The 23,402-nt window shown below is 50.3% G+C and overlaps 2 protein-coding genes across 8 annotated transcripts in view, besides 4 other annotated features; both read left to right on the top strand.

Annotated features, from left to right (window-relative positions):
* The window catches only part of ISY1-RAB43 (ISY1-RAB43 readthrough), a 73,492-nt gene that overhangs the window by 36,910 nt on the left and 13,180 nt on the right, over positions 1–23,402 (top strand). The window lies entirely within an intron of this gene.
* The window catches only part of RAB43 (RAB43, member RAS oncogene family), a 34,582-nt gene continuing 13,183 nt past the window's right edge, over positions 2,004–23,402 (top strand). For 2 of the 7 annotated variants that reach the window (NM_198490.3, NM_001204887.2), the window contains exon 1: positions 2,350–2,868. In NM_198490.3, the coding sequence (NP_940892.1) occupies positions 2,665–2,868 (204 nt within the window). In that variant the 5' untranslated portion in view covers positions 2,350–2,664. Of the gene's footprint in view, positions 2,050–2,139; positions 2,174–2,231; positions 2,256–2,349; positions 2,869–23,402 lie in introns of those variants that run through there. The other 5 variants (NM_001204883.2, NM_001204884.2, NM_001204885.1 and 2 more) reach the window with 5 other exon arrangements.
* Positions 2,121–2,340: a silencer, noted in NCBI's record as "silent region_14718". NCBI's record gives its function as "represses an Ori minimal core promoter by ATAC-STARR-seq in GM12878 lymphoblastoid cells {active_cell/tissue: GM12878}" and the evidence as "EXISTENCE:reporter gene assay evidence [ECO:0000049][PMID:35858748]".
* Positions 2,361–2,540: a silencer, noted in NCBI's record as "silent region_14717". NCBI's record gives its function as "represses an Ori minimal core promoter by ATAC-STARR-seq in GM12878 lymphoblastoid cells {active_cell/tissue: GM12878}" and the evidence as "EXISTENCE:reporter gene assay evidence [ECO:0000049][PMID:35858748]".
* Positions 3,321–4,266: an enhancer, noted in NCBI's record as "H3K27ac hESC enhancer chr3:128838731-128839676 (GRCh37/hg19 assembly coordinates)". NCBI's record gives its function as "activates a minimal SCP1, AML or CMV promoter by ChIP-STARR-seq in primed H9 embryonic stem cells {active_cell/tissue: H9 hESC(primed)}" and the evidence as "EXISTENCE:reporter gene assay evidence [ECO:0000049][PMID:30033119]".
* Positions 11,335–11,835: an enhancer, noted in NCBI's record as "H3K27ac hESC enhancer chr3:128831162-128831662 (GRCh37/hg19 assembly coordinates)". NCBI's record gives its function as "activates a minimal SCP1, AML or CMV promoter by ChIP-STARR-seq in naive H9 embryonic stem cells {active_cell/tissue: H9 hESC(naive)}" and the evidence as "EXISTENCE:reporter gene assay evidence [ECO:0000049][PMID:30033119]".

Raw genomic sequence — 23,402 nt, 5'->3', positions numbered from 1 at the left:
AAAAAAAAAAAGTGCAATATACATTTTTTCAAATTTGGTGTATTAAATGAAACATAAATATTTTTTAATTGCTGCATTTCAAATTAGCATGATTCCATTTCAAATAAAATGCCACTGTGCTACTCAGGAATTTACCACCAAAAGAGGAAATGCAGATATTAGACAGCTTTATTGAGGTATAATTTACATACCATAAAACCCACAGGTTGTAAGTTTACATTTTAATGATTTTAATAAACTTGAGGAGTTGTGCAACCCTTACCACAGTCCAATTTTAGAATCACCCCGCAAAGGCAAGGGAGTGGTGCCTGGGTTTTCTGACAAAATCTATACTCAGACCAACATGTCCCCTGCCCCAGCCCAACCAGTTCCAGGCTAGAGCAGTGGAAAGGCCAGTTAGCTATCCAACCACCGTCTACCCCTACGCTTCATCCTGGCTCCTGGATTCCACACCATTTTGTGCTGTGGTAGCTGCTCTGAGCTGGGGGCAGGCCTTGTTTTCTGGAGTTCTGGACTTTGACCTGAGCTAGTCCCAGCATGCAGAAACCTTCCATCCCATCTCCTGTCTACTTCTACCCTGGAGTGGAGGTTATTTCCTGCCTCTCTAACTCTCCGCTCCCATCAGGTGTACCAAAGTGGGGCTCTCAATTGCTTTTCAGTGGCACTTTGGGGTTTCCTGTCTGATTCTGTTGGGTATTTCCCATGGGAGTGGAGTTCAAACTTTCAGAAGAAACAACTCTTCTGCCTTCTCCACGGGGTCTGCCTTTGCAGACTGCTCATTCAGTCCCTTTCTATCTTGACCTGAAAGGTTGGCTGGGGTCCTCACAGTGGCACTGGGGGACTTGCTCTCTGCGAAGTCTCCTTCAGCTTGAAGACTTTCCCCTTTTCTCCTGGATTTTTGTCTGCTTTGTCCACAGGTGCATTACAAGGCCCCAGGACAATGCCCGCCTGTAGTAGCCATTCATTAAATATGTTGAATACCTGGAATTGGAGTGCCACAAGGAAGCTGTCTAGAGGGGTAAGGGGTGCTGTCAATTCCTTCCCATCTTCGGAGCTGGGAAGCCCAGTCCTGTTGGATCTAGTATAAGCTTCTTACAGATGTTTGGGTCTCCTTTCTCTGAGGCGCCCTGGTTCACTGGGCCAACTCAGGAGTTGGTCTGCCCTTCCTCAGAAATCCCTTCAAGTTTTTCTGTTCCTCTTCCTAGACTGGTGCTTTTTGGCTGGGTCAGTTTCCCAAATGGGCCTGTAGCTGCTCTGAGCTGGGTCATCCAGCCGTTTAGCAGCTGCTTCAACCACTGCTAGGCTGCCTTTTGGAGACAAGAGCTCCCAGCTCCTCCTTCTGGCCTAGCTTCCCATCAAATGGGGCCCTGGGTCCTCTCCTCACAAGGATTTTGGGCTCCTCCGCAGTTTTGTAGCCAGCCTGGATTCTGGCCTTCTGCAGCCTGCTCCCTCCCTTCCCTTCCGCCCCTGGGAAGAGCGACCCCCACCACTCTCGGAGACTGCACTGCCCGCCTGTCAGAGTGGGCACTCAGGTGACACTGCTGTGGTCGTCCCCTTCCTCCGTGATCCATTCCGGAGGGGGTCATTCTTAGTCTAGGCCTGCAGGCCCGGAGCTCCAGCCATGGTCTCCGCCTGTCCCTGACCGGCGGTCTGGGAGGCAGCAGGTAGGGGATCCCGGGCAGGCGGACCAGGCCTGGGTGGGGGGCGAGCAGGAGGCGCGGGACAGCACCTGGGGGTCCCAGCTGATGAAGGGTCGGGGTGGGCAGCGGTTTGGGGGCCAGACGGATCCGCGGTGTGGGCGCGCCGGGGTGTTGATGGAGGAGGGGCCGAGGTGCTGAGGGCGGGGTCGGGCTGGGGTCGGGGCTGAGGGCGGAGTCGGGTGGGGCGGAGTCAGAGCTGAGGTGAGCCTGAGGGCGGAGTCGGGGCGGGCTGAGGTGGGCCTGTGGGCGGAGTCGGGGCGGTGTGCTGAGGTGGGCCTGAGGGCGGAGTCGAGGTCGGGCTGAAGGCGGAGTCGGGGAGGGCTGAGGTGGGCCTGAAGGCAGAGTCGAGGTCGGAGCTGGGGACGGAGTCGAGTTCGGGCTGAGGGCGGAGTCGGGGCGGGCTGAGGTGGTCCTGTGGGCGGAGTCGAGGTCGGGCTGAGGGCAGAGTCGGGTCGGAGTCGGGGCGCGCTGAGGTGGGCCTGGGGGCGGAGTCGAGGTCGGAGCTGAGGGCGGAGTCGGGGGCGGGGACGTAGGCGGAACCCGGGTCGGGCTGAGGTGGGCCCGAGGGTTGGGCTGGGGGCGGAGTGGGTGCCAGCCTGAGGGCGGAGCCGGGGGCGGGCGGGGGCGGGCTGGGGCGGGCCTACAGGCCAGACTGGTGTGGCACGGAGCTGAGGACCGGCCGGAGCTTTGCGGAGGGCCCGGCTTGGCGGGTCCGGGGGGGAGCCGAACCCGCGGGGCACCGGGTCCGGGCGGGGCCGAGCCGGGCCGGGGCGGGAGCCAGCCGGGGTGGGGCGGGGCCGAGGCCGAGGCAGGCGGTCGGCAGTGCTGGGGGTTCAGGTGTTGCGGCGGCTCCACGTAGCCAGGCGGCCCGTGGGCTGGAGCGGGCGGAGCTCGGCCCGCGGCTTGCGTGAGCTCAGGCCGGTCCCAGCGTCCAGAGCGCCGGCCCTTCGGCTTCTTCTAGGCCATGGCAGGGCCGGGCCCAGGCCCGGGGGACCCGGACGAGCAGTACGATTTCCTGTTCAAGCTGGTGCTGGTGGGCGACGCAAGCGTGGGCAAGACGTGCGTGGTGCAGCGCTTCAAGACCGGCGCCTTCTCGGAGCGCCAGGGAAGCACCATCGGCGTCGACTTCACCATGAAGACGCTGGAGATCCAGGGCAAGCGGGTCAAGGTGGGAGGCCGGCCAGGGCCCCTGGAAGGCGCTCCCTCGGAGGGTGGGGCGGGGGCAGCGGAGCCCCTGGCCGCGGCGAGCGCACCCCGCGTCCATCTGAAGTTTCCTTTGGCTTCCCCTTTTTCCTTCCTCGGGTCGGAGCAGGCCTGGGCCCCGGGGTCTGGGCCGGGTTCAAGTCCTCAAAGCGCCGGCCGTGGGTTGCTGGGGGGGGGGGGGGCGAGGGAGTGTGGAGGAGGCGGCCCTGCCCTCCGGAGCTCACACCCTAGGAGGGGACTGTGCTCCAAAATAACTTTAGCCATTGGAAGGCAGGGGGTTAGACTCCCCTGTTCCAGGTACTAGCGGAGCGCCTTGGAGTGCGGAGATCAGACCCCCCACCTCCATCCACCGCGATGGCAGCCCCCAGCTCAGCCCACCGGCGGGGCACTCAGCCAGAGAACTGCATCCCCACCCCAGGACTAGGAGCGATCAGGAAGTAGTTGCTTTTAGGACCAGAGGGCCAAAACTTTTTGTCAGAATTTCCGGCCTGGCCACGCCTCCCTGCAGTCTCTTTGTGGACCTGGTGGTGGAACTTTACTCGACTAGGGCCAGCCCCGGTTCCCTCCCCCAGCTGGAGTTTGATAGAAACTGAAAACTTCACAGATACCGGAAGGTGGGGGAGAGAACCAAGCTTTGGCAATGGCTCCGAATAAAAACAGCAGGATGTGGTTGCCACAATGTCCTGGCAGTGGTTTGATAAATATTTGTGATGAATGAAATCAGAGTTTCTTAACCTAGGTGTTAGTACTCCCTAATCAACCAGGAGATCCTGGGCTGAAGGCACTCAGTAACTTTTCTGAACCGCACTGTACAGAAATCTTTGCTTGCTTTCATGGTTTCGAGCCCCCATGATCTTCAGGACACCCTCAGGGCACAGGGCTGGGACGATCTCTGCCAGGGAGATGGGAGTCACTGGAGCCTTGCTGCTGCTGGGCTCTGCCTCTCCGGGTGGCTCTAGGCCTGCTCCTTGTTGCCTTTGGCTAGGATATGTAGCTCTTTGTCTTTGTTTCTATAAAATTGGGATAATTTCTGGGTGTTGCCTCCCTCCTGCCCCAAGGTGGAGAAAAAAGTAAGTCAACAGTCTTTATGTGTCCACAGTGCCTCTCAGTAGATGTGACGGGGAAGCAGAAACTCCTGCCTGAGGGGTTTTATTATTATTATATTTTAATCGTCTTCTGGGGTCTGTGTTTTGGTCTCCGTGGATGGAAAAGAGCAAGGTGCAGAAGGCAGCTTTGAGTCACTCGGGACCACCCTTTTGGAGCAGGTAGCCAGGGAAGGGCTGGAGTGGGTGGAGTGTCCGTTATTGAGTGTGCCCAGTGATGATGCCAGCAGCTGCAGGGAAATGGGAGTGTGAAAATACAGGCTAAAGAGCAGTGGTGTCCTCCTCATGTGCTATCGGTCTGTGTCTGGAGTGTCTGTGGTGGCCCAGTGCTGACGGTGGTCAGGGAGGGGGCAGGGTTCCTGTTTACCTGTTGAGATAACAGACTGTGTCCCAGCAGAGCTCCTGGTTTACTGCGCACGGGTTATGCAATGCAGGGCCAGGCAGTTCGTTATTTTCTTTCCTTATGGTTGCCTCCAGATTGTCCTTCCTAGGAAGCAGCCCGGGGCCCAGGGAGCAGAAGAGCTGTGTAGCTGTGGTAAACACCTCTCCAAGTTATAGCCGCTGACCTTCTTGAGAGGCTGTTGGGAATCAGCTGGGTTACAGGTGCATTCTCTGCTGACTGGAGGGAATTCTTACCCCCGCTCACACAGGATGGAGCCTGGGCACACAGCTAAGAAGTGATAGAGGTGGGAATATTTTTCCCAGTTTTTCTGACTCCAAAGCAGATTTCTCCCCCATAGTGGACAGCTTTTCAGAATCCCGTTGTCTGTGGTGGGGAAGCCTCTGGCAATTGTTTACCACCTCATTTTGCCGGCAGGAAAACCTGAAGTCTAACTCACTGCAGAGGCTCCAAATTAAAGCTGGGCAGCCGTGAACTTGAGGGAACACTGTCCTTCGAGTCAGGCTTCCTGGGGTCCGCTGCCGCAGCAGGAGCAAGCCATTTTCCCTCCTCCATCTGTAAAGTGCCTCTGAGTAGTCTTTTGGCAATGTGATTTTAAGTCAAGTTTTTTGAGGTCTAATTTACACACGGTAAACCTTCACCACTTGAGGTGTTACAGGTCTATGAACTTCTCAAACTTACACAGACAAGCAGCCACATCACTATCAAGATGGAGAATTTTTCCACCAACCCAGAAAGTTCTTTTGTTCTTCTGTAGTCAGTTCCTTTCACCTCATCCTGTGGCAACCCCCGATCTGTTTTTTGTCTCTGTAGTTTCAGCAGTGTGATTTTAACTGAAAGCCTTGATGAACCAGAGCTTATTGTTGTTTTTTCTGTGGAAAGCAAGTGCACATCAGGGATTCAGTGTAAAACCTTTCCAGGGGCCGGGTGCAGTGGCTCATGCCTGCAATCCCAGCACTTTGGGAGGCCGAGGCAGGAAGATTGCTGGATGTCAAGAGTTCGAGATGAGCCTGGCCAGCATAGTGAGACGTGGTATCTATTTAGAATAAAATAAAATAAACCTTCTCAGGGCCTGTCTTGGGAAGCCCGAGATGCTTGTCCAGCAAGCATCCAGTCTTATATCCTAAAGCTTTCCCTGTGATTCTTTACAATGATGCTGGGTTTTATTAGAGCTTCAGGAAGCTTAGAGATGGATCACCTGGTGGTTTTCTAGCTCCTGTGAGCTTGGAGGTACTGAAAGGTAAGGAGAAAAGCCAAGAGGTCAGAGAGAGGGTCAGAAGGGCTTTAACTAGCTTCCCAACCAGTCAGAGCAATACCTTTATCTAGTTGTAGGTTGAAATTCTTGTTATTTGACTAAAGAATTCTCCTGCTAAAAAAACCGAAACATTTGAGAATCACAGATTTAATCAAATTACTTTATTTCTGTAGCCACTTCCCATTACAACCAGAATAACCTCCAAACACCTTCCCCAAAGAGATGGACCTCTGGAAGGAGACAAAGTTGGAGAGGCAGACAGAGGCCCATCTCTACCCTTCACTGCCTGCTCTCCAGCTTCACTAGCCCTTCAACATGGTGGGCTTACCCCTGCCTCAGGACCTTTGCATCTCTTCCCGTGCCCATCATACTCTGCCTCTAGATCCCCACGTAACTGCTACTTCATCATTCAGGTCCCAACGCAAATGCCACATCTTCAGAGAGGCCTTGCCTGATCTCCCAGGTCCTCTATTCTGTAACTCTATTGTATCTGGTCATAACACTTACCACAGCTTCAAATTAACTGTTTTTTTCTGTCTGCCCCTATAGAAGGTAAGCTCCTTGAAGACACAGGGATCCAGTGGGCCAGTGTCAAACACATGGTGTCCAATATGTGCCTGTTAATTGGTTCCTTTATAGAGAGAAAGCTGAGGCCAAGGTCACTTACAACTCTGTGGCAAAACCAAGGGTTTGGCTGGCTCCTAAGCCCAGTCTTCATTTTTACTTGACCACCCTTCTGATTTGCTCTGAGTTCATAAAGATGACCGTGAGATTCTGAAAGTGAATGGATCTAATAAAAATGCAGTTGTGGCCATTGCATTCACTGAGAGAAGAATGTGGAATGGGGCATTTTAGAAAGATTGGGGTTGACAGTTAAAGAGTTTTAGGGTGTTTGGTTTATTATTAACCAAAACGTGTAGATATACCCAAACGGCTCAGAGACACTGCTGTACGAGTCAGTAAGGCTTTGTATATGGTGATCATTTCCAGTGTTCTTGTGGATGCATTTGACTGTAGCTATGAGAACTGGACTTATAAAGTGAATCTGAGTGCTGCTTATCTTGCATACTGTGGAGTCTCTGACAGAGAGCACTGGACTAGGAGTCTGAAGTTCTGAGTCTTGCTTCAACCCTGCCACAGACTTGGGCAATTCATTTTTTTTCTCCTTGGAGCCTCAGGCTTCCTCATCTGTGAAATGGGACTAATGGTCTTTGCTCTGCCTCTTTCTTAGGGTTGTCAGAAAACTTTGAACATGCTTAAAATAAAGTTTCCATGACTTACTTTTGAATAGATAAACCATTCACATGGTTCAAATTTCAAAATTTTAAAAACTTCAAAGGGTATATATAGTGAAAAGTCTCCCTTCCGTGTTTGTCCCGTAAGCCACCCAGTGTCCTCTAAGAAGAAGCCATCAGTGTTACTCATTTCTTATTTAAAAACAAGGATTTATAAATATATATTTTTTTATTGCTGCAGTTACTGTTTTCCTCCCTAGATGAGACAGATTAGGTCTGAATTTGCCCCTCCCCCACCCCTCCCTCCTCCCCACCTCAGTGTCCTCAGGAAATCTCAGCTGGCTCTAAATCCTTAAAACATTCTGAAGCTCCTCTACTCACTCTTATCTGGGACAACACAAAGGCCTGTTATGTAAACTCGTTTTTGCAGATCACTAGGCACACCGGCCTCAAGTCCAGCGCAGAGGTCAGCCTTATGGAACTGTACCCCTCTATTCAGCTCTCTCTCAGGCTCACTGTCTGCTCGCTAGGGATGCTGCCAGATCTCTCCTTCATAGAGGTAAAGTCTGTGCCCTTGGGCCTGGACCTCCAGATTTCAGGACCTTTGGCCTTGACTCTCAAGCTTCCCCTTGCCCTAGGAGTCAAATTTGTTTTTGTAGCTGCTCCTGGCACTTCAAAAAGAGGGGGCAGGGCGGGATAAGAGGAAATGGTTTCTGGTTAAAGTTTGCATTCACAGTCCTTCCAATCAAGAGTCTAGTTCTGCTCATCTGTTCTTTTCCTATTTGGATAAAGTTTGTTTGACTTTTTCAGTTTTCATTAGAAATAGCAAAAGGACTGTTAGATAAGAAAGAAGTTCTAGGTCGTGCTGATTTTCTGAAGAAATCTGTTCTTGATACCAGGGACAGCCATCCTAATTGCAAAATAAACCTTGCCTCTCGAGGTTTCTTAGAATCCTGAGACAGCATGTCTGGTGGAGAGATAGTGGAAAGAGGGCCAGCTTTAGAACTGCACAGCACCAGGTTAAATCTTATCCTCAATGGATATGTTCTAAGACCCCCAGTGGATGCCTGAAACTTCAGATGGTACTGAACGCTATATAGACTATGTTTTGTCTTATACATACATGCCCATGATAAAGTTTAATTTATGAATTAGGCACAGTACGAAATTAACAACAATAATTAATAACAAAATAGAACAGTTATAACAATATGCCAGCATCGCTATTCCTGCGCTTTGGGGCCATTATTAAGTAAAATAAGGATTCTTTGAACACAAGCACTGTGATACAGTACATGCTGGACAAAGGTATGATTCACATCCCAGGTGGGACGGAGCAGGATGGCGTGAGATTTCATCATGCTACTCAGAATGATGTGCAATCGACTTATGCATTATTTCTAGAATCTACCATTTAATATTTTTATTTGTTTTTTTGAGACAGAATCTCACTCTGTCGTCCAGGAGGGAGTGGAGTGGTGTGATCTCGGCTCACTGGAACCTCCACCTCCCAGGTTCAAGCGATTCTCCTGCCTCAGCCTCCCAAGTAGCTGGGATTACAGGTGCCCACTACCACACCCAGCTAATTTTTGTATTTTTTGGTAGAGATGGGGTTTCACCATGTTGGCCAGGCTGGTCTCAAACTCCTGACCTCAAGTGATCCACCCACCTGGGTCTCCCAAAGTGCTGTGATTACAGGTGTGAGCCACCGCGCCTGGCCTACTTAATATTTTTATTTTTTATTTTATTTTTTGAGACGGGGTTTCGCTCTTGTTGCCCAGGCTGGAGTGCAATGGCATGACCTCTGCTCACTGCAACCTCCGCCTCCTGGGCTCAAGTGATTCTCCTGCCTCAGCCTCCTTAGTAGCTGGGATTACAGGCATGCACCGCTGTGCCTGGCTGATTTTGTTTTTTGTTTTTTGTTTTTTTTTTAGTAGAGACAACGTTTCACCATGTTGGCCAGGCTGGTTTCGAACTCCCGACCTCAGGTGATCTACCCACCTCGGCCTCCCAAAGTGCTGGAATTACAGGCATGAGCCACCACGCCTGGCCCTACTTAATACATTTAGAGCAAAGTTGATGGCAGGTAGCTGAAACCTTGGAAAGTGAAACCATGGATAAGTGGGGGATACTGTACCATAGGCATGTGACTTTACCTCTTCAAATCTGTCTTACCTGCAAAACCCCTACCCTTAAGGACCTGGCCCATAGTGGATCATCCACAGATGGGAACTGATGTTGGTGTGTAACCACCTGATGAGAGAGAGTGGATTGCGGGGGGTGGGGGTCAGGAAGCTTGGTTTCTCAGCCTAGTTGCCCAGCTGACCGTAAACAAGTCACTTCATTGACCTGTTGTCCTATCAGTAAAGTGAAGACAATAAAGGCAAGAGACTGGCCCCTGTGGCTATGCTCGTACTAGAAATAGAGCTATACAGTGACCCCAAACTGATCAGGGATTGTGGGAAGTAGAGGCACACAAGGCCTTTACCACCTTTTGTCTCCATGCTGTGACTCAGGATATCCACATGTCTGCTTTCCTTGCTTTCCTCTTGTTCGTTGTTTAGCCCTTGTAGGTTTCTTTACCTTGCACTGGCCTTTGTGTAGTGCTCGGGCTGTGATTGGCCTTTGCTGAGACCTCATGCTAGGCGGTTTTCCTGGGTGCTTTGGGTATGAGGAATTCTCAGAGTTCAGTAATAAGAGGAGCAACTCTCCCTCAAATGTGCATGCGTTTTATAAGTTTCCATCGCTTTTCTCATGAGTTGTTGCATTTGATCCTCATAGCCACCCTGTGGGAGACTATCCCCATCTTACAGAAGAGGAAATGAAGGCCCATTTGTGGCAAAGTCTGAACCAGAGCCAAGCTTTTCAGCTCCTAGTCTGGTACTTTTCTCCTCATTGCTGTCTTGTGCCCTCTCCTACTACCGCAAACACACACAAACCCACAAATGAAAAAAGTTGGGACTGATTTAAAATCTAGGCCATCTTGTATTGCTTGCATTTTACACATTGATTAGCAGTGTCATGTCAACATTTTAATGCCCAGTACTTATTAAATAAATGTTTATTAATTCAGATGAACTGGGGGTAGTGTTCGGAATGGCCAGTGTGAATGACAGAAAAATCCCACTTTCTAGACTGGCCTGTGAAATGCTGTTTTATTGTTGATGTGGCAGCAGAAGCTAACCAAATGCTGTTACATACCAGATCTTTCTTTTTTTTTTCTTTCGAGACGGAGTCTCGCTCTGTCACCAGGTGGAGTGCAGTGGCGCGAGGCGTGATCCCGGCTCACTGCAACCTCCACCTCCCTGGTTCAAGCAGTTCTCCTGCCTCAGCCTCCCAAGTAGCTGGGACTACAGGCACACACCACCACGCCTAGCTAATTTTTGTATTTTTAGTAGAGACGGGGTGTCACCATGTTAGCCAGGATGGTCTCGATCCCTTGACCTCGTGATCTGCCTGCCTCAGCCTCCCAAAGTGCTGGGATTACAGGCGTGAGCCACTGCGCCTGGCCACATATCAGATTTTTCTAACCTGCTTTGGGTTCATGAATAAGGACCGTTTGCCATTAATAGCTCCTATCCAGATACCATTAAAATCAGCTCTCCTCTACTTGCACCAGTTTGCCTCGCAAATCTCCCTTTTCTGGATTGGAAGAAGGCAAACTTAATCCCAGAAGCGGTGTGTGAGCACTACTTGTTAGAGGTTTTCACCTGTGCTCGTGAATGACCACTCTGAAATCCCAAAAACAGAGTGTGGCTAGAGAGTAATGTGACTGGTGTTCAAAAATAGCCTAGGGCCGAGTGTAGTGGCTCATGCCTGTAATCCCAGCACTTTGGGAGGCCGAGGCGGGCCGATCATGTGGTCAAGAGTTCAAGACCAGCCTGGCCAACATGGTGAAACCCCATCTCTACTAAGAATACAAAAATTAGATGGGCATGGTGGCGCATGCCTGTAATCCTAGCTACTCGGGAGGCTGAGGCAGGAGAACCACTTGAACCTGGGAGGCGGAGGTTGCAGTGAGCCAAGATCGTGCCACTGCACTCCAGCCTGGGCGACAGAGCAAGACTCCATCTCGAAAAAAAAAAAATAATAATAATAATAATAAAAATAACCTAAAACTCAAACGTGTATATGAGTGCTATCCCTTTCAGAGTCATCTCTTTGAGTAATTGTATATGCATTTCCCGAAGGTTTCATCCGCTGTGATGCTGTGTTCAGAAACTTCTCTAGAACCTGCACCTGCTTTGGTGGGTATTCCAGGGGTGGGTTTGATAAATAAAAACAGTCAAAAGAAGCCTGGACAACATAGGAAGACCTCATCTCTACAAAAAAATTAATAATTAGCCAGGTGTGGTGATGCATGTCTGTAGTCCCAGCTACTGAGGAGGCTGAGGCGGGAGGATTGCTTAAGTCCCAGAGATCAAGTCTGCAGGTAACTATGACCATACCACTGCACTCCAGCCTGGGTGACAGAGTGAGACCCTGTCTCAAAAAAAAAAAAGCAACAAAAACCAGCCTGCCTACCATAATGTTAGCAGTTCTTCTGTCCAAAATGAGGTCTGGCTATAAAATAATTCTGGTTCATGTTAGGCAATTCCTGTATGTGCTGGGCACTGGCAGCTGTTGGAGTAAGTGTACTGCCTTCTGAGGTGACGTCTCTTAAAGGGGGCAAGGTGCATTTTGATTTGAGAGACCTAAAAGCCTGGCCTTCAGCTAACAGCATGAGGGCTGGGAGTCATTTCCCCTCCTTGCATCAGTTTCCTCACTGTTGCGTGATGAAGTGAGACTGGGTGATCTCAGAAGCCTCTCTAGGCTCTGTTATTCTTTGAAAAAAGGCCCTTGTCATTTCAAGCCAGATAACCTCCATGCCCACCATTTTTATGGCCATGGAGTATAAAAATTGGATATTTTTAAAATTAAAAAATTCTGTTTACCATTTCCAATTAAAAACTTTGATTTTGGGGGTTTTTTATTCTTGACTTTTTTTTTTTTTTTAAACAGGGTCTCAAGGTCTCACTCTGGTTGCCCAGAATGGAGTGCAGTGGCATGATCTCAGCTTACTGCAACCTCTGCCCCTTGGGCTCAGGTGATTCTCCCACCTCAGCCTCCTGAGTAGCTGGAACTACAGGGCATGCGCCACCACGCCCGGCTAATTTTTTGTATTTTTAGTAGAGATAGATGGGGTTTCACATTGTTGCCCAGGCTGATCTTGAACTCCTGGACTCAAGAAATCCACCTGCCTCAGCCTCCCAGGAGTGCTAGGATTACAGGTGTGAGCTGCCGTGCCTGGCTTTACTCTTGGCTTTTAACTGTGTGTAGGTCCATAAATAGTGGGTGATTTCGTGACCAAAAAAATGGATCTTAGTGTCAGAGTAAACTTCAGTTTGCTAGTTAGGAATTGTTAATATCTGTCATGTTTATATATTTTTTTCAATATTCCCAATAAGAATAGGACTCTCATGTTTATATAGAACAGAATCAATTTTATGAAATACATGAAAATTCTATGAAATATGTAGAAAAATCTCTTAGAAAAAAATCAGTTTTATTATTGAAATCTCAAGGCCAATACTTCAGTGTAAACTCTGACGCTACAGTTTTCTTTGGGTTTCTTTCCCAGAATAAGCCCTCAACATGTGTTGGCTGCATGAGTGGGAGAGTGAGGAGCAGGATCAACATCTGATGGGAGGGTGCTGCTGGATCCCATGGCTGGCAGCACAGGTCTCTTTTTTTTTTTTTTTTTTTTTTGAGACAGAGTCTCTATCACCCAGGCGGAGTGCAGTGGTGCCATCTCAGCTCATTGCAACTTCGGCCTCCCAGGTTCAAGTGATTCTTCTGCCTCAGCCTCCTGAGTAGCTGGGACCACAGGTGCACACCACTACGCCCGGCTAATTTTTATATTTTTAGTAGAGATGAGGTTTCACCATGTTGGCCAGGCTGGTCTCAAACTCCTGACCTTAAGCGATCTGCCCACCTCGGCCTCCCAAAGTGTTGGGATTACAGGCATGAGCCACTGCGCCCAGCCATGGACTCTTGAAGCTCTACTAGAAGCTCTACTAGAAGAGTTCAGGAAAGGGCTGGAGGGCACCCTCCACATTTTAACAGAACACACGGAGGGAGAAATGCATGTGAAGTGAAAAAAGGAGACCACCTAGGAATTCGAGGAGTCCCCTACCCTTGGGAAGGCGCATGGTGATGGGTGGAAGGTGAGGTGTGACCAGATAGGCTTGGGGCCAGTTTGCTGTGCATTTGTGGTACAAGTGCATACATCAACAGATTGATATTTTGCTTTCCCTGAATTATCTTACCTTACTATCCTGTCTAAAGTAGCACTCTCCCAAGTTCCTTAAAAAAAAAAAAAATCTTTATGGAGATATAATCCACATATGATAAAAATTCCCCCACTTAAAGTGCGTGATTCAGTGTTTTTTTTGTTTTTTGTTTTTTGTTTTTTAATATACTCAAAGAGTTGTGCAGTCATCACCACAGTTGATTTTAGGATATTTTCATCACCGCAAAAGAAACCTCATCACCATAAGCAGCCACTCTCACTTCTCAATCCCCACCAACCCCTGGCATTTTTAATAGAGACGGGGTTTCACCATGTTAGTCAGGATCGTCTTGATCTTCTGACCTCGTGATCCGCCCGCCTCAGCCTCCCAAAGTGCTGGGATTACAGGCGTGAGCCACCGCGCCCAGCCACAGAATGTTTTCAACATTATGCCCTTACTTGCCTTGTTTTGTTTTTTTGTCCTAGTACTTTGCATTGCCCCAAGTCATACTTCACTTGTTTGTTACTGTTTGCTTCCTTCCACCCTCAGGCACTCAGCGCTGCTGGGCATGGACTTTGTCTTAGGTATCAAAGCACTTGGCACAGTGTACTTTACCTTTTGGTTATTGAATGAATGAAGGCAGGCAAGAAGGAAGCATACTCTTTCCCCATTTATCCAGCTACCTCTTGGCTTGCTTTTGTTGAATTGATCAGTTCTCTTCCACGTTGCCTTCTAGTAAGTTGGAAATATAGTGCTGTTTCTATTGATTTTATTAAGTTTTAAATTCATGTTTAAATTTATCTACCAGGATCTGTTTTTTTCACCTAAAGAAGACAAGAACCACCATAATCCCAACACTTTGGGAGGCAGAAGCGGGCGGATTGCTACAGCCCAGGAATTTGAGATTAGCCTGGGCAACATGGGGAGAACCTGTCTCTGCAAAAAATAAAAAAATTAGCCAGGTATGGTGTTGCTTGTCTGTAGTCCCAGCTACTCAGGAGACTGAGGTGGGAGGATCACTTGAGCCCAGGAGGTCGAGGCTGCAGTGAGCCAGGATCGCACCACTGCACTCCAGCCTAAGTGACAGAGTGAGAGCCTGTCTCACAAAAAAAAAGGAAAAGACAAAACCAAGCACACTTTTACTTTCTCCTCATTGCCCATTCCAAAATTTTTTTTACATTATGTACCAAGTTACTTAGACTTAATTCTAACTTTTAATATTATTATTATTATTATTATTATTTTAGATGGAGTCTCTCACTGTCGCCTGGGCTGGAGTGCAGTGGTGCGATCTCGGCTCACTGCAACCTCCACCTCCCAGGTTCAAGCACTTTTCCTTGCCTCAGCCTCCCAAGGAGCTGGGATTACAGGCGCCCGCCACCATGCCTGGCTAATTTTTTTTTGTATTTTTAGTAGAGACGGGGTTTCACTCTGTTGGCCAGGCTGGTCTTGAACTCCTGACTTCAGGTGGTCCACCTGCCTCAGCCTCCCAAAGTGTTGGGATTACAGGCATGAGCTACTACATCCGGCAACACCTCCTTTTTTTTTAAATGACATTGATTTTTTTTTTTTTTTTGAGACGGAGTCTCGCTCTGTCGCCCAGGCTGGAGTGTAGTGGCGCAACCTCGGCTCACTGCAAGCTCCGCCTGCCAGGTTCACGCCATTCTCCTGCCTCAGCCTCCCGAGTAGCTGGAAGTACAGGCACCCGCCACCACGCCCGGCTAATTTTTTGTATTTTTAGTAGAGATGGGGTTTCACCATGTTAGCCAGGATGGTCTCGATCTCCTGACCTCGTGATCCGCCCGCCTTGGCCTCCCAAAGTGTTGGGATTACAGGTGTGAGCCACCGCACCCAGCCAAATGACACTGATTTTTTAAATTAATTTACAGATCAGTACAAGCCATGATTTTTTTTTTTTTTTGTAGGAGTCACCTTGTAGTTTTTTCTCATGGTTTCCTTATGTTGTCTTTTCACTTGTTTCTTTATTCCTTGTATTTCCTGTAAGCTAGAAATGTGGGGACTCGATGAGCCTAAAGTTAAACCATTCTGGCAAGAATGCGTCCTAGGGGATGTTGTGGGCTTCATCCTGCAGCACAGGAGGCAGCCCCCGGTGCCACGTTCCATACTAGTAATGGGGCCTGTTTGATCACCTGGTTAGGGTGGTGTTTACCAGCTTTCTCCATTTCTGTTGATTTCTAAAGATTTCTCTTTGTTCTTTGGACTTATTTCTTGATCGCTTAAGAGCCACGGCCTTCCATTTGGAGCACCAGACCAGTTGAAATAGGGCTAAAAGGGAAGAACCCTTGGAACCTGGAAGGTGGTACTCTGTCGAGCTTAGTTATGGTTGTTGGCTGAGAATTACCCATCTGACACCCTGTATGTAAATTACATAGCATGGCAACTTGTGCATGGTTTATTTGTTCATTGATTCCTTAGGTACCTGCTCTCTCCCAGGCACTGTTCTAGGTACCAGAGAGAGAAAGGTAAGTAAGAGGCAGTCTCTGGGGACTCACCTCTGGTGGAGAAAATATATGTAGACAGGTAATTAGCATGCAATGCTATTAATGCTGTGGCTGTGGTAACTGAGGCTTCTGAACCAAGAGTTGGACTGCATGGCCTGACAAGTACTCATCTTTCACCTCCACACATTGTGGCAACAGCCAGCCAAACATGGACAGTCAGGGCTGTTCCTGGAAGGCAGGGCCATGTGGCTGCCGTGGCTGTCCTAGGGAGGTGTGCTGAGTTCTGTGGAGCTTGGTGGGGGGCTTTAATCCACACTCCTCAGGGCCACAGAGGCGTGAAGGGGAGGGAGGCCCTGGAAGATTCATGAGAGATTCCTAGGGAAGTGAGATGGGCAGGGCTTTGAACGCCATGGCTGCCTCTGTGCAGAGCTGTGGCCCTGGGAGGGAGGAGTGTGATGTTTGTCTAAGCTGCATGCAGCTGGAGAATGGGGGCAGATGAGAGCATGGCAAATACGAGGGCCAGCCTGGTGGCACTGGCAGGCTGTGGGCCTGGGGGCCATAGGCAGCGAAACAGCCAGCTGTGCCTGGGAGCCCGGGGAGGAGGGTTTGCTCTAGAGAGTTGAAGAGGTGACCGAGTGGCTTGGAGGGTGAGGGTGAGGGACTCGTGAGGCCAGTCTGGGCCATCGTTGATGACCAAAGTAGCAGGGAACTGGAGGGATGGTTTGAGGGTTGGGGTTGTTCAGTGTGGGCCATAGGACATCTGAATCCCTTGTGCCTGGGCCCTTGCAGCGGAGGAATTTGGGGAAAAGAGGTGTGGGGTTTACGGGAATTCTTGTGGAGGCTGTGAGGGCTCCAAGAGGCTGTCTACCAGGGACACTGGCACTTGCAGCCCTGACTCTGAGGATGCTGTCAATGTTTGCTGAAAACCCTTCCTGATGGGCCCCCCAGCTGAGCGGTGCCCACCGCGAGCTCCTGCACGCTGCCTTGGTTTCCTCATTACCCCAAATGTTTCCCTGGTGCTGAAAGGAGCCTGCAAGCAAGCAAGGTGTTTGGGTGGCAGCAGGCTGGTCGTGGATGCCCTTAGCTTCCTGCGAGGAAGAGGAATACCCGGAAGAGGTGGCACTTGGCAAGCAGATGAGGCAGGACTTGTTGGCCAGAGGCCAGGGTCGTTTCCCACAGTGCACCTTTTTCTCATCCAAGCTGTTCAGGAACGGGTTTGATTCCTGCAGGAGGTGCCAGTGGCAGTGAGATTTCTTGGAAGCAGTTTCTATGTGCTTGCGGAGGAGCCGCGTCCATGGTAAAGGACACCAGGCTTCGGAGTCAGACAGACCTCTGCTGATGCTTCATTCCTGTGACCCCTCAGACATAAGGAGTAATGAGACCCACCTTCTAGGGTTGTCACGGGATGAAGTGGCCTGACACACAGGGAGCACTGACAGACAGTGCCAGGTGCCCACAGAACTCTGCCTTCCTGGCTTTCATGGCCTCTGGCCCCTTGCTTTCACCAGGCCTGCAAAACGTCGTGGGTTACTGTGCTTCCTGGGTGACTGGGGAGGAAACTTGAACTGCGAGAAGCTGACAGGGCCATCCCTCATCACGTGCTGGTGGAGTACAGGAACAGGAACGCACATCCTGGATTTTTCTTCACTCTGCATCGCCACCAAGCCTCCCAAGGAGAGCTGCATTGTAACAAGGGACAAAGAAAGCCATTTCTCATGCTGGGCCTTCAGGCACTCATTTTTAAGAGGTGGGAGGAATTTTGGGCATGAGAGTCTGTCCTGGTCCTCTACTCCCCTATTGCAGAGGAGAATTTGTGCCCCCGACACCAGACTGCATGCATTGCAGTCTGCTCTGCCTGCCGCCAGCCTGTGTCGCTGGTCCAGCCTGGTCTTACCTTTCTTGTCCTTGCTTTGGTCTCTCTCCACCTGTCTGGCCAGATGGTGGCAGGCTGTGTCCTTAGCTGGTTAATATGCTAGAGGTTTTGCTGTCTTACCATGGTGCTTCACAGTGCTTCACTCCCTGGCCTGTGGCCTGCTTGTGAGCCCAGGGCCAAACCTTTCCCTGGAGGACCACAGCATGGTGGGAGGAGGGACAGCGGCAGTCAGGAGCTCGCATGGCCCACAAACTCCACCTCCTGGTTTGACTTACCACATCCCAAGACACAATGAAAAATAGCTCAGGAACTTGTATTTGGGTCAGTCTGACCAGTTTTCAGAGTTTGTCCTGAGAACTAACTTTTCCAAGGTCCCTCTCTAATATGAAGAAGCAAGGAACTTTCCACTGCCTGCTTCGTTACTCAGGAGAAAGTCTTGTCAAGTAAAACCTTCCTCTGTTTCCATTGGGAGGGACAGATGCTGGACACAGGTCCCAGAGCCGAACTTCAGTGGTGCTTTTAACCTAGTAAGCAGGATTGATTTCCCACTGGGGCACATCTGAACTCACTCAGTGGGAACGTGAACTAGGAATCCCTGGAAAGCAGCTTTCAGCCCTGCTGCACGGGCCTGACTACTGGGACCTGCCCACAGTGGACTGCTGATGTGTTGAGGCCCTTCTCTGTGCAGGCACTGTGCAAGTATTGATGGTGCCAAGAGGAATAAGACAGGGTCTTTCTCCTCAGGGAACCCATTCCTGATGGCAAGAGAGGGACATAGGAACCAGGAGCCAAGTGGTAGCCCGAGGTCAATTTCCACTACAAAGCCCGCTTTTTGTTTGTTTTTTAATGTTAACTTTTTTTTTTTTTTTTGAGATGGAGTTTCACTCTTGTTGCCCAGGCTAGAGTGCAATGGCATGGTCTCGGCTCACTGCAACCTCCACCTCCCAGGTTCAAGTGATTCTCCTGCCTCAGCCTCCTGAGTAGATGGGATTATAGGCATCCACCACCATGCACGGCTAATTTTTGTATTTTTAGTAGAAACAGCGTTTCACTATGTTGGCCAGGCTGGTCTCGAATCTTGACCTTAGGTGATTTGCCTGCCTTGGCCTCCCAAAGTGCTGGGATTACAGGCATGAGCCACTGCGCCTGGCCCTGTTTTTTTTGTTTTGTTTTGTTTTGTTGTTGTTGTTTGTTTTTTGAGATGAAGTTTCACTCTGTTGCCCAGGCTGGAGTGCAGTGGCACGATCTCGGCTCACTGCAACCTCCATCTCCCAGGTTCAAGCAGTTCTCGTGCTTCAGCCTCCTGAGTAACCAGGCTGACAGACATGTACCACCATGCCCAGCTAATTTTTGTATTTTTAGTAGAGACAAGGTTTCGTCACGTTGGCCAGGCTGGTCTTGAACTGCTGGCCTGAGGTAATCTGCCCACCTCAGCCTCCCACCCTGGCCTAAAGCCTGTTTTGTTTGGCCGGCAGAAGGGTGGTTGGCTGGTTTGTTACTATTGAACTTGTTTTAGATAGCATATCCTTTTCTGATAGCCAGCGGGTCCCACAAGTCCTGTCTCCTTACTGCCTTTTATGTCACTTGTCTGGCCCCAAAGCCCAATAGTGCGGGACATTTTGACTTAGATGGATAACCCATTCTGTGATGTGTGTTGTTGTAGGGGCAAGAGTAAAGAGCTATGGGAACATGAAGGAAAGAAGAGTTAATTCTGCTCAGGGTTGGACCACAGGCCCATGGTGTCAGGGAAAATGAGAGACTTTTGAACTGGGGTCCTGAAGGGTAGGTAGGAGTGCACCAAAAGGTTAAGATGAATGCAGTTTATCCCAGAAAAGATAACGGCGAGAACAGCACTGCCTTGTCATGAGTGTGGAGACTCAGAGCGTAGTATAAGCTGGGAGTTATGTTTAGAGATTAGAAGAGGAAAGAAGCCTTATCCCTCACCCAACATGTGCTTCCCGACTGAGGCAGCGATGGGCAGGACTGAGCCCTTCTGTCACCAAGGTGAAAGAAGGGCCTGAAGCCCAGGACTGAAACCCTTGCAGCCTTGAAATCCCCACCCCATATGAAACTTACCTGCCAACCCTTGCTGAGTGGGAGAGGAGGGGGAGTGCTGCTTTTCTGAGCATACACACTCTGGGAGCCCTTTTCCTCCCTAATTAGGCCTTACCCATACCCTCTGGGTCCAGTAGATGCTTCTGGACTTCACCTTTCCCCGAAAGTCAATTATAAGACAAGCCTGCTGGGAAAAGTTCAAATAGCTGGTGATATGCTAGGTGAGAGGGCTTGGAGCTCATTCACAGTTTACAGTCCCTGTTGGCTGGTCAGGTTAGTGGCTGGTCAGGTGAGTGTGCAGGAGGAGAGCTTGGGGGTGGGGGATAGAGAAAGTGCGGTTTCCGCTCTCAACTTGGCAGATGTTTTCAGCAGTTTAAGGTTGTTTATGTCCCCTGGGCAGTGAAAAACACCTTAGCCATAACAATGTACAGCTCGCTCAGCTGACAGTGTAAAAGGTTCACGGGGCAAAATGGTCCTCAGTACTCTCCTCCAGATTATGTTTCTGTCGGGCACCTTCTACATGCCAGGCACTGTGCTAGGTGCTATGCAGATTGCAGAAAACTAGCCTGATGCAGCCCGTGCCCTTGTGGAACTCATGAGGCAGAGAAAGTAAACCTTTAAAAAGTGTGTGTGCATGTGTGTGTGTGTGCATGTCAGGCAGTGACGTGCACTAAAGAAAAATAAATTGGGGTTGGGACAGGATGGGACTGCTCTTTTAAGAAAGGCCTCTTGGCCAGGTGCGGTGGCTCGTGCCTGTAATCCCAGCACTTTGGGAGGCCAAAGCGGGCAGATCACCTGAGGTCAGGAGTTCGAGACCAGCCTGACAAACATGGTGAAACCCTGTCTCTACTAAAAATAAAAGAATTAGCCGGGCGTGGTGGCACACACCTGTAATCCCAGCTACTTGGGAGGCTGAGGCAGGAGAATTGCTTTAAGCTGGGAGGCGGAGGTTGCAGCGAGCAGAGATCGTGCCACTGCACTCCAGCCTGAGTGACAGAGTGAGACTTCATCTAAAAAAAAAAAAAAGCATAGATGGGAATGAATGAGGAGGCCAGTCACATGGGCGTCTGGGAGAGCTTTTCAGGCAGGGAACACCAAGGACAAGGGCCTCGGTGCAGAGGCCTTGGAGTACTCCAGGAATGGCCAGCAGGCAGCTAGAGGCAGATCCTGGGGTTGCCACCTAAGGGTTGACGGCAGAGGAGTTACAAGATCCTAGCACTGTTTCAGAAGCTGCATTGTTCTGTGTGCAGAAAATGGACTGGGTGAATTGGAGGTGTGGAGACAGGCCTGAGGCCGTTTGTGTAGACCCTGGTAAGAGGCTGGAGTGGCGGTAGGGAGGTGGGGATAAGTGGGTAGGAGGAGGGCACAGCTAGGGCAGATGCAGTGGGGACTTGGAGCCCAAGTGTCCCTGCTGGTCCCAGCCTCTCCCAAGGCAGAGAGACAGCCAGCCTGGAGTCCAGGACTCTGCGTTGGGATGCCTTGGCCGAGTCCCAGCGCCCCTCAGAGCCTCCCTCTTTTCTCTATAATGTCGGCTCCTGGTCTCTGCCTGCAGGCAGTGGCAAGGACGAGTGAGATGGCCGGGACCCCCAGGAGTCCACAGGGTGGGTCTACTTGCCTTCTGAGACACTGAGCCTAGGCCTGGCCTCTCCAATAGATGGTAAGATGGTTTCTGGTTGCTGTGTCTTGTCACCTGCCTGTTTCAAAAGTAACGTAGTTAAAGTGACAGATCAGAGGCATTCAGCTCTCATCCAGCCTCCCTTGGGTGCTGCCTAATGCCAGCTGGCTTGGTTGGGGTGGGGAGGGGTCTGGTCTGGGGAAGGGGCTCTCCTGGCTTGGCTTCCGCCTCCTCTTTTGGAATATAGTAGGCATGGGTGAAGTGATCAAGCTGCCTGTTACACTAATTCCTCTCTGTGATCCCATGACAAGACTGCTCCACCCAGTGACCTGAGTGATTTTTTTTTTTTTGAGATGGAGTCTCGCTCTGTCACCCAGGCCTGGAGTGCAGTGGCACTATCTCGGCTCACTGCAAGCTCTGCCTCCTGGGTTCACACCATTCTCCTGCCTCAGCCTCCTGAGTAGCTGGGACTACAGGCGACCGCCACCACGCCCAGCTAATTTTTTGTATTTTTAGTAGAGACGGGGTTTCACCATGTTAGCCAGGACGGTCTCGATCTCCTGACCTCGTGATCTGCCCGCCTCGGCCTTCCAAAGTGCTGGGATTACAGGTGTGAGCCACCATGCCTGGCTGTGATATTTTAAAAACAAACCAGAGCACATCTTGTCTTAGCCCAGGCTTCCCGTGGAAAACAGAGCCAGAGAGAAGGGCTCACATGCTTAGCTTTTGTTTTGGAGACTGACCTGGAGAAGGAGGCAAGGCTTAGATAGAGCTGCATCTTTCATTTAGCTGCCATGGGCAGTGGTCTTGACCCTGAGGACTTTACAAGGTGCATGAGGAATGTGTCTCACAGTGGTCCCTCTGAGAGGTGGGAGAGAAGAGCTTTATCCCTGTTCCCCGTTGGTCACAGGTGATCCCTAGGGTGCGGAGGCCTCTCTCTTCTGGGTCATGGAGGCATGAGCACACAGTGCTTTCCGGCAGGCCTCCCTGGCCAGACTCAGAGATGCTCCCAGGCAGGGAGTGAGGGGCACGGTGTGGGCAGGCCTTTGTGTGTGTGCAAAGCTGGTTGCTGCAGCAGTGGCTGGAGTGCAGGGTGCGCTGATAAGATATGTGAGTGGGAGAAAAGAGGAGACTGGCTCATATTTCCCTGCCTGAGACAATCTCCAGTGGCTTTACGTTGCAAGAAAAATGAAATCCACACTCTTAACTTTGGCCTGCAAGATCCTATATGCTCTGGCTCTGGCCCATGTCTCTGAACGTGTCTCCTCCCAGTTTCCTTCTTCACGGCCATCTGGCCACACTGCCCTTTCCATGTCTCTAACACGGTAAGCATTCTCCTGCCTCTGAGCCTTTGTCCTGTTCCCCTGCCTGAACACCGTCCATGTGGTTGGCTCTTCATCACTCAGGCCTCAGCTCAGACACTTGCTCAGATCATCAAATAGGCTGGCATCCACCCCCTGTGCTGTCTGCCTGGCTTTCACATTCTGTAGCGTGCTCATGATCACCTTCTAAAAGGATCTGTGGCACATTCTGTCTCCTCTTACTAGGATGGAGCTGGTTTTGCTCCGTTCCCTGCTATATCCCCAGTTACCAGAGCAGAGGCTGGGACAAGGCAGGAGCTCAGCGCATGTTGAATGAAAAATGAACGACTCATGTACACAGCCTAGTATGTTTTTCTTTTGGTACTATATGTATTCTCTTTTGCATTTAAGTTCCTTTGTGTATATTAAAAACATTTGCCACAAAATTATAATAGCTCAGTAAATATTGTTAAACGGATGCATTTATCAGCACCTTCTCCATGCTAGCACTTGGGCACATGGGTTTGGTCATTTGACTCTGACAGCACCTTTTTGTACGGATGAAAAACAGAATGGCCGGGCGCAGTGGCTCACACCTGCAATCCCAGCACTTTGGGAGGCCATGGCGGGTGGATCACCTGAGGTCAGAAGTTCGAGACCAGCCAGGCCAACATGGCGAAACCCTGTTTCTACTAAAAATACAAAATTAGCTGGGTGTGGTGGCACACGCCTGTAATCCCAGCTACTCGGGAGGCTGAGGCAGGAGAATCGCTTCAACCTGGGAGACAGAGGTTGCGGTGAGCAGAGATCACGCTACTGCACTCCAGCCTGGGCGACAGAGCGAGACTCGTCTCAAAAAAAAAGAAAAACAGAATGAAGTTTTAGCCTAGAGACACAAAGCTGGTGACAGAGCATCAGGTCATGAGCT

This window comes from Homo sapiens, chromosome 3 (genome assembly GCF_000001405.40).
Source record: "Homo sapiens chromosome 3, GRCh38.p14 Primary Assembly".
Taxonomy (NCBI): Eukaryota; Metazoa; Chordata; class Mammalia; order Primates; family Hominidae; genus Homo; species Homo sapiens.
Note: the sequence above shows the minus strand (reverse complement) of the source record. Positions and strands in the feature narration are given on the sequence as shown.